At 39.5% G+C, this 9597-nt stretch overlaps 2 pseudogenes; one reads left to right on the forward strand and one right to left on the reverse strand.

Annotated features, from left to right (window-relative positions):
- Window positions 1-987: 987 nt before the first annotated feature.
- On the reverse strand, window positions 988-5198 carry LOC124905151 (rho GTPase-activating protein 42-like; annotated as a pseudogene).
- ARHGAP42P3 (ARHGAP42 pseudogene 3) lies at window positions 2265-5199 on the forward strand (annotated as a pseudogene).

Here is a 9597-nt window from a genome sequence, read left to right on the forward strand (position 1 = left end):
TTTTATTTAGCTTGGTATCTAAAATCATTTAGGTGACCCATTCCCATGTTTGGAAAATTTTTAAAATTTGTTGTATATATCTGTGGTATTCAGTATAGTAGCCACTAGCTACTTAACTTTTAATCAGTTATAATTAAATGAAATTTAAAATTCAGTTCTTCCGTCATACTAGCTACATTTCAAGTGCTCAATAGACACACTTGGCGAGTGGCTACTTTATTGGACAGGGCAAGTATAGAATATTTCCATTATCACAGAATATTTAACCAGACAGCATTGATCTAAATGGTTAATTTTTTTTTTTTAACTGGAGTGCATTGGTACATTCTCAGCTCACTGCAACCTCTGCCTCCCAGGTTCAAGCAATTTTCTGCCTCAGCTTCCCAAGTAGCTGGGATTATAGGTGCCCACCACCACACTCGGCTAATTTTTTTATTTTTAGTAGAGACAGGGTTTCACCATCTTGGCCGGGCTGGTCTTGAACTCCTGACCTCATGATCCACCAGCCTTGGCCTCCCAAAGTGCTGGGATTACAGGCATGAGACATTGCACCAGGCCAAGTATCTTGTAGAGAAAGTTTATATTATGATTCAGATTTCCATTTCTTCACATTTTTTCTGAAAAGCTAAGGTTTTGTTATTGAACTACTATTAGAAGTTGAATGTGATCCTCTTCCAATGTCTGGCATTGCCTTCCTGTGGAATTAACACTCTGTGTGATTTAGAGTACACGTCCTGACTTTCTCAATGCTCATAAATACCTTATCTGTAGGAAACTTTCTTGAAGGGAAAAGCAGCTTTAGCCTGTCTCCAGTATATGGCCCTGACTTGCTTGTACATGTAATCTATTATGAAGGAAAAAGAGCCATCCTCACAAATCTACAAGATTAAAACTTCTAGCACAAACACAGCTTGAATCAGTGCTTCTGTAGCTTCTTTCAGCAAAGGGACCATAGCCAGTACTGTGGCTACAACATATGCCTTGCCATCAGATACAAGAGTTAGGCTTCATATCCACGTCCTGTGCAATAAAAAGCTTTAAATCTGAGTGGAACATCCATAGAACTAGCTCATAGACAACGCAGAAGTAGGAACACTTCGGTCTGTGTTCAAGTAAAATGAAGGTTGAGATTTCTTTATGCAGCAGAAGAAGCAGGATTCCGTATCTGTCTTTGGAGTCAGGTTGGTCTTTGAAAGAAAACCAATTTGCTTTTAAGAGGTTCTAATCTAGCAGGATACCAGATGATGGCAAGCGTGTTTAAACCAAGTATAGACTAAGGGATTGGTACATTGATAAACTACCTTCTGTTTCAGCAGAGGGTAATTAGGGTGCCAGCAATGCTGTTATTACTACTAAGGTCACCAAGGACCTAGATCAAGAAGTTCCATCCAGCAACACCTTATTACAGTGTACAGAGGTCAACAGTCAGAGGTAAAAGAAAAAGAATAATCTTTTATCAGACTTTTACATTACATTGATAATTTTTAATACAGAATATTTTTCATTCTTTTATTTTGATTCACTGGTATTTATTTCTGATTCTGACTCTGCCTACTGTTATTCACCCTACTTGTTAATGCTAATCTATTCTTTTTATTTGTAAAAGCATAACTTTTCTCAGGCATAGTTGTGTGTGTATATGTGTATTTAACCTATTCTAGAAACATTAATTTAAAGTAGAAGAGATTGAGATTGCAGATTATAATAGCATGTAAAGAGTTTTATACAGTTAATACCTGAGAGTCTGCACAGTGGGGAACTCTGAAGTAATATGTAAGGTGTCAAGAACAAGCAGGTCAGGACTGTGGCACTCAAAGGGCAGGTAACCAGCTTTTCAGTAACATTTTTAAGTAGCAGTTTCAGAGATCCTTAGAGAATGCCAGGCAGTAAAGGACACATCTCAAAATCCATACAGCAGATTTCTGGTTTCCAAGTTTATGGGATATAGTACTTAATAAAGTATTTGAAACTCTACAATTGCTATGGAAGAGACATTCTGGAGAGTTACGTATTATCCAAAAATAAATTTTTCAGAAGCAAGAAATTTTAAAATAAGAAACCAACCAAAAAAGAATGGCCAACCATTTAAACCTTTTTTTCCATTAATAAGGAGCTACATAGTCTGCTGGTGAAGAACTTGATAGAAATTGACTGTTTTCACTTAGTGGGCTGATCCCCTTGTATCTGTGTCAGATAAAATCATAGCACTTATTATTTGTTACCGGATACCATGAAGATACTGCCATCCACTAAATAGTAGTAGAGGAAGACAACATAATTTTCTGCAACTAGTCCCGTTTTGCCTTCATAAGCTGCCTTTAACCATCCTGGTTCCACTGATGGGTCCACACTGGAAAATATCACTCTTTGTGGGAAGGAAAGCTCACGCTGTGCTCTCCTTTATAGGAGTACATGGCTTTGGCTTGGTGCCCAGAAGAAACTGGCTTAGGTGAACCAACATTTTCAAACAGTTGAGCTTTTGCTGCCACTACTGAGCCAGGACGCTGATAGCCATTGCTTGAGGTGGTGTCTAGTCTTAACCTCCTGCACATTTTTGGAGGCAGGTCTGGGTTTGAAGCTTTGGGTGTCTCCTTGGAACCTACAGAAGTTAAGCTTTGAATAGATCCACTGTAGCTAATGTTTCCTTCAGCTGCAGAGATGGATCTGAGAGAAGAAGCAGAAGCTCTTTTCAGTCCTGAAAGCCCATAAGGCCCTTTCTTGACTAGGTCTATGGGTGGGGAAACATCCCCTGGGCTAGTGACCGAAGCAACACTCTGGCAATCTGATTCTGCATCTGTCTTGGTTGCATCTTCTCTAGAACTTGATTCAGGATTAGTTGTCCAGAGACCAAGGCTTTTCTGTCCATTGGAAGATTGGGTTGCAATCCAAGGAATCCCTCCAGATTTCTCCCTGGGCTGGCAGAAAGCTGACTTTGTAGTGCTATTTTGTTCTGAGGAAAGAGAAGAGAGTGACGTGATGCTCCCCATGGGGGTGCTGTCTGTGCTGCTGCTATAGGAATCACTATCAAGTTCAGCCAGGCATGGAGTACACATCCCTCTGGGCTTCCTAGAGCCTGTAGAGAGGCAGATTGCTCATGTCCTTTGGGATCCAGATCGAGACTGAGGCTGTCCTTTGGGATCCAGATCGAGACTGAGGCTGAGGAAGAGGAATGCTTGGGTCTGGAGCAGTATGAAAAATCGTTTCACTGTGCTCTATCAGAATTTCTACACAATATTCTGAAATTTAATATTCACCATAGCAGCCACAGTTTATTCTTGTGCTCTCATTAGAGTTGGGCCAAATATGACACCAAGATTTTAGACAGTCATGAGATTTTGTTGGCTGTGCAGTGATACTTTGACCAGATGTTTTATTAAGATGTCCAGCATCTCTCTGTTTTTCTCTGGCAATGTGCACACCAATGCATGTACAGCCTCCACCCTGTAGTTTTGGTCATCAGATTTAACAGCAATGATACAAATCTTTGTGTAACTTGTAAGTTATCAGTGGTGCTGCAAAGCACCTGAGGTAGTTTTTCAGCCCACTCATTATTGTCTTATTGTCCCACAGTTCAATATCAATATCAGGAGGGGATTTAGGACAAAATATGATATTCATGAGTTTTTGAACTTTGGAGTTCACTCCTCCTATTCAGTAGAGGCCTAAAATGGTGATACCACTGGTTTCCACAGCTTGAATGCAGTTTCTCACAAAATTGAACCCTGCTTCATTCAAATACATTTCTTCTTTCTTGCTTATAATGTCAGGCAGAGTATAAATCAGTTCCTTCCCATCCGTGGCTTCAAGCCAGAGTTTCCTATTAGCTTCTGAGAAGGCCTGTAATGTGATGATCCCATGGCTTTCAACTACTTGTATGTCGAAGCAGAATTGTTTGTCAATTGAATCTGTCTTTCGTCGGATACAAGATTTTGAACATTTCCGGTGAGCTAGTAACAAGGCTGTTTAATCCATGTAAAACCAAGTGGTCATTTCTCCTGGACATGCAGATAGCCTTGCAGATTTCACCCTTTGCATCAACCCCTCTACCTCTTGTCAAGTACTTTCAAAATTATTCCTTGTATTCTGCAAGTCGAACTGCAGCTGTTGCTTATTTGGTGCAAATTCCTGGGCAAGTTCATATCCCTCGGGGTAAAAAAGTAAATAAATCCTGAAGAAATGACAAAAGCAGTTCAACAAATTCAAACTTCTGTTTTTCTTGAACCTCTTGAATTTTAAAGACATATTCTTTTTTCTTTTATTTTTATTTATTTGTTTATTTATTTATTTTGAGACGGAGTTTTGCTCTTGTTGCCCAGGCTGGAGTGCAATGGTGCAGTCTCGGCTCACTGCAACCTCTGCCTCCTGGATCCAAGCGATTCTCCTGCCTCAGCCTCCCGAGTAGCTGGCTTTACAGGCATGTGCCACCAGGCCCAGTAATTTTGTATTTTTAGTAGAGACGGGATTTCTCCATGTTGGTCAGGCTGGTCTCGAACTCCTGACCTCAGGTGATCCACCCGCCTCAGCCTCCCGAAGTGCTGGGATTACAGGCGTGAGCCATTTAAAGACATTCTGATGATGCTTCATAGAAGTTCTGATGTGCTCAATCAATTTGTGTATCTGCCTCTTGCAAATGAGACTCCTTTTTCTTTGCAGATAAATTTAAATGCTTTTCAAGGATAGAGAAATATTTTTCACTCTCTTTGTCAAACTTCTTTCCACCTTTTGCTGCACCTATCTGTTCTTTTTGAAGTTTCTCAAGTGGTGCAATTAATACATCATTAGCGTTTTGGGTCAGTCTTCGCTTTTCTTCTACTGCAATGAGTAGTCTTGCAAATTATTTTAGTGACTGACCAATACTAATTTCATCATCTGTTTCAACATCACCAATACATTCAAATTGGAAATCTTGTAATGACTGGGAAAATTTCTGCACTGCCATAGACAGATCTCCAACCTGGGTAGAGGTGTGTTACTGAAGGAACTCAGGGTTCCTTTGGAAAGGATGAAAGGGCAAGGGAACTGGGCAGGCAATCAACATTACCTGTCCTCAACGCCCCAGTGAGCAGAGAGCCGTCCTTAATGAGCTCCTTGATGAACTTGTTGGTTCGCTCCAGCTCAATCTGGTGACACTGCAAGCGCTCCCTAAAATCCGGGCTGTCCAAGTAGTAATCACTGAACTCCAGAGTGGGCAGCCCCATGGCACAGGCGCTGCCAGCGGCGGCCGCTGGCACGTCCGGGCCGGTGGTCAGGGCGGGGGCAGCTGGAGGCCGCGGCGGGCGCTGGGGCAAGCCAGGGGACTCGCTGGCAAGCCAGGGGACTGATCGCTGGAAGGAAATGGGACCGCGCGCCGCGCCGCCTGAGCCGGGCTCAGTCTTCCTCCCCCTGGGCGAGGCGAGCACAGGCCTGGCGGAGGGCCTAGGCGCAGGTCTGCTCAGGTTGTTGTCAACGGGAGGCACCCTCGTTGGGAGCGCTGGGACTGCGAGCAACACTGTTGATTATTAAAGAAGCACACAATAGAAGTGCTAATTTTATTTTACGAGTTCCTTGATAATTTTTAGACTCTTTTGTAGGAAAAAAAAAAGTAGTGTGTTTATGCTTGCCCCAGGCTTCCCTGTATAAAAGCTGCTTTTTCTCAACTTTCAAAAATGAGTTTCTGATTGACATTAATGATTCTGTTAAATCTCTATATAAGGCAAAGGCAATTGGGAACATTTGGAAAGGCATTTGGAAACTTCCAAAATTATAAATATTTGCATTTAAACTTCCAAAGCCAGTTGTGTTCATTAGTTTTTTTTTAAAATTTTTCCTAAGAAATTATCTCACAAAAAGCAAGAGGCCTCTAGTGTAACTAGTTTTCAGTTTTCCTGTTACTGGAGTCAGATCAGCTGAAGCATGTTCAACCTCTCCCCTGTGGGCCAGTTACAGGGGAAGGAAGGAAGGAAGGAAGGGGGAAAGGGAGGAAGGGAGGAAGAGAGGGAGGGAGGGAAGGAAATGTAGTCCTGGGGATACACTAACAGTTCCAGAAACAGAAGCAATTTATTTTCTCAATTTCTTTCTTACCTTCTTTTACACTATCATTCACTAATTCAATCACCAGCATGGTTTTACATGTCCAGCTTCTTTCCTGTTCTTAAAAATCTCTTCCAATCGCACCGTCTTTTTCTTAAAAGCTTCAAATTTCCCGTAGTTATTTTATTCAAGAGCCATGAGGTTCAACATGATTTCGTCATACACTCTGGATCACAGAATAGAATCAGCAACCTTGGCATAGCCCAACACACACACACAAACACACACACACACACACACATACACACACACACGACACAACTTTCTGACCAGCATCTTTTGGAAATGGAGTACTGCTGTGGAAGTAGAAAGGGAATTTTCCTATCATTAGGGACCTACAGTGTGGTAGGCACTAAGACAAACATTTGACTTCATTACTCTAATCCTCAGAAATCTCTGTAGTGTGCCTATTCCTATATCACAGATGAGATATTAGTTCATGAAAGCTGTCCTCTATCCAGGGTTATGTAATTTGTGCCCAGTTATACAGCAAAATTGGAATGCAGGTCTCTAATCTCTAAAGCCCATACTTTCCCTATTGTAGTTTATTGCCTCTCCTAGGAAATTTCTTCCTCCATGACAATATCATGAAGAAGGGGAAACTATTGCTTGTCACTTCTGAGTTAGTATCAACACTTCTTCCATCCTCTAGCACGAATAATGTAGCGACACCACCAATTCTGTTGCAGAGCAGAAATAATCTTAAGGTTGTTCAACTTCCTAGCCACCCTAGTTCCTTTCCTGCCCAGCTGCAAGAAAGAATTATTAAAGAACTCTGTGAAATTGACCTTTGGTGTGGAAAGAAAACATGACAAGATGGTGAATCAAACATTGTGTTGCATTTAGCATTTATTATAGATTACTATGCAAAATGAACTAAAATTTTGTTAAATGCAAAATTGTCTATAAGAACAGCATAATATGTGCTTAATCCTACTTCTCTGCGATCACTTGATAAGTTAGTCAAATGATTGGCATTTTAGACATGATGGTGCAGAGAGGTAAGTAATTTGCCCCAGGCACATAGCAAATAAATGGCAGAATCAGAATTCAAATCCAGTCTTTCATGGCTCCAAAGGGCCTGAGTTCTTTCCAATACACTAATGGTTCTCAAATTCAGAGTGTATCAGAATTACTAGAGAGTGTGTTCAAAGTAAAGCTAGATGCCCAAGCTTTGACACTGCTGAATGAGAATTTCCAGGGTCAGGACATATGTTTGTTTGTTTGTTTGAGCAACTTCCTAGGCAACCCTGCTATATGCCGAAGTTTGACGGCCATACCACTATACCATGCTGCCTTATGGAGTTATAGAAATGATCCTTGCTAAAGCATTAAAAACGTGCCGACTAATCTTTACATCTTATGGGAGTTACTGGTGAACTAGCAAAAATTTTAACATTTTGTGAATTTCTGTTAATCTGTACATTGGGTATAATGGTTTTTGCTTAAATTAGAATGTACTTATTTGTGTTTAATTGTTCTAAACTTGGAGCTAATTTGTAGAATTCATTTATTTGCTTTTACTCAGCACTCTACAAATTCTCTGTAAAATGTTACAGTGTCTCTTTCACCTTGGGACACCAAATATTCCACAGAGATTGCCCCTTAGTTTAAGGGACCTTACTCTTTTCTTTTACATATATATATATGTATATGTGTAAGCAGGTCTTGGTGGGTTAATGGGACTAAATAAGACAGTTATTTTTGAAGAGCAAGACTTAGTAAAATAATTAAAGATCAAAGATTCTCATGACTAGAAAAGATTTGATTACCTTCAATGAGCCCAATGAAGTAGAGGCCAAATCTCCTGTGGATACTACCAAAATGAGGTCATGTGGCTAACTCGTTGATTGTTAAGAGACCACATTAAAGGCTTCTGAATTGTTTCAAAAGCGTTATATAAATTTAATGCCCCTACCCCAATTCCTGCTTCTAATAAAAATACAGTGTTAGTGTCTGACTACAGAAGTCATACATGAGGAGTTTATATTTTTATTTTTTACTTTATTTATTAATTTTTTTGAGATGAAGTCTCACTCTGTTGCCCAAGCTGGAGTGCAGTGGCACAATCATGGCTCAGTGCAACCTCCACCTCCCACACTCTCATTTTTATAGAGTTTTCCTGACTGTTCTCATTGCATATACTTCTTGATTAAATTTAAGATAATCTTGCCAGGTTTTTAAAAATCTTGGGAGTTTGGTTGGAATTACTTTATAGATATAGAATACTTTAGAAACATTTAGCATATTTAAAATATTGACTCTTCCTATCCAAGAACAATATGTTTTCCCATTTATTCAATTTTTGCTTTCTGTTATTATATTAATTTATGATTAATTTGATATAAATGTTCACATTTGAACATTTCTTGCATTGTATTCTCTAATTTTTGTTTATATACAGGCAAGCTAATGTTTCTTTCTTTTTTTTTTTTTTTTTTTTTGAGATGGAGTCTTGCTCTGTTGCCCAGGCCGGAGTGCAGTGGCGCGATCTCGGCTCACTGCAAGCTCCGCCTCCCGGTTTCACGCCATTTTCCTGCCTCACCCTCCTGAGTAGGTGGGACTACAGGCACCCGCCACCGACCGTGCCCGACTAATTTTTTTGTATTTTTAGTAGAGACGAGGTTTCACCCTGTTAGCCAGAATGATCTCGATTTCCTGACCTCGTGATCCGCCTGCCTCAGCCTCCCAAAGTGCTGGGATTAAGGCTTGAGCCACTGTGCCTGGCCTTTTTATATAATTTTTATCAGTGGACACCTTACTGAACTATAGTACACTTTAGCTTTTTAAAAAAGCTGCTTCTGTTTTCCAGGTATGCAATTATATAATCCTATAGTAATTTTTGTGACTGTCTTTTTAATATCTATATTTCTTCATTAATTTTAGTTTTCTTTCTAATTACTTACAAGGCTAGGACCTCAGAACAATGTTAAGTAGTAGTTGTGACTGCAGGCATTATTTCTAGCCCTGGCTTTACAAGCAGTATTCCTAGCTTTTCACCATTAAGAATGACATTGGCTAGCAAATTAAATACATATTGTTTAATCATTTTATTCCTATTCTAGTGAATTCATTTAATGAAATTGGAAATGAAAACTAAACATCGTCTTAAACTTTTCAAAATACATACAGATTATTATATAGTTTTTCTCTTTTTGAGTTAAATTAAATTAATAAGTTTCCTGGTATTCGATAAACCATGTATTCCTAGAATGAAGTATTTCATTGTTATCACATACTGTCTATATAGCTTTGTATTCCAGTAGTTGCAATTTCAGATTTTGACATCAATTTTCATGTCTGGCCTGGAACTTTATAACAACTTATATTGCTCATTTAAAAATCCACTGTTGCTTCTCTCCAGTTTATTTATATTTTCCAATTTCTTCAGTTAGATGCTTAATTTACATGTTTTTTGTTCTTTTAATGGCTGCTTATAGAAGCACCTTTGTAAATTCAGAGGATTGTGATTCTTTTTCCAGTTGATTAGAGCCAAGTGACCTCTAAATATGCCATACAGTGCATCAG

Source organism: Homo sapiens, chromosome 22 (assembly GCF_000001405.40).
Source record: "Homo sapiens chromosome 22, GRCh38.p14 Primary Assembly".
NCBI lineage: Eukaryota > Metazoa > Chordata > Mammalia > Primates > Hominidae > Homo > Homo sapiens.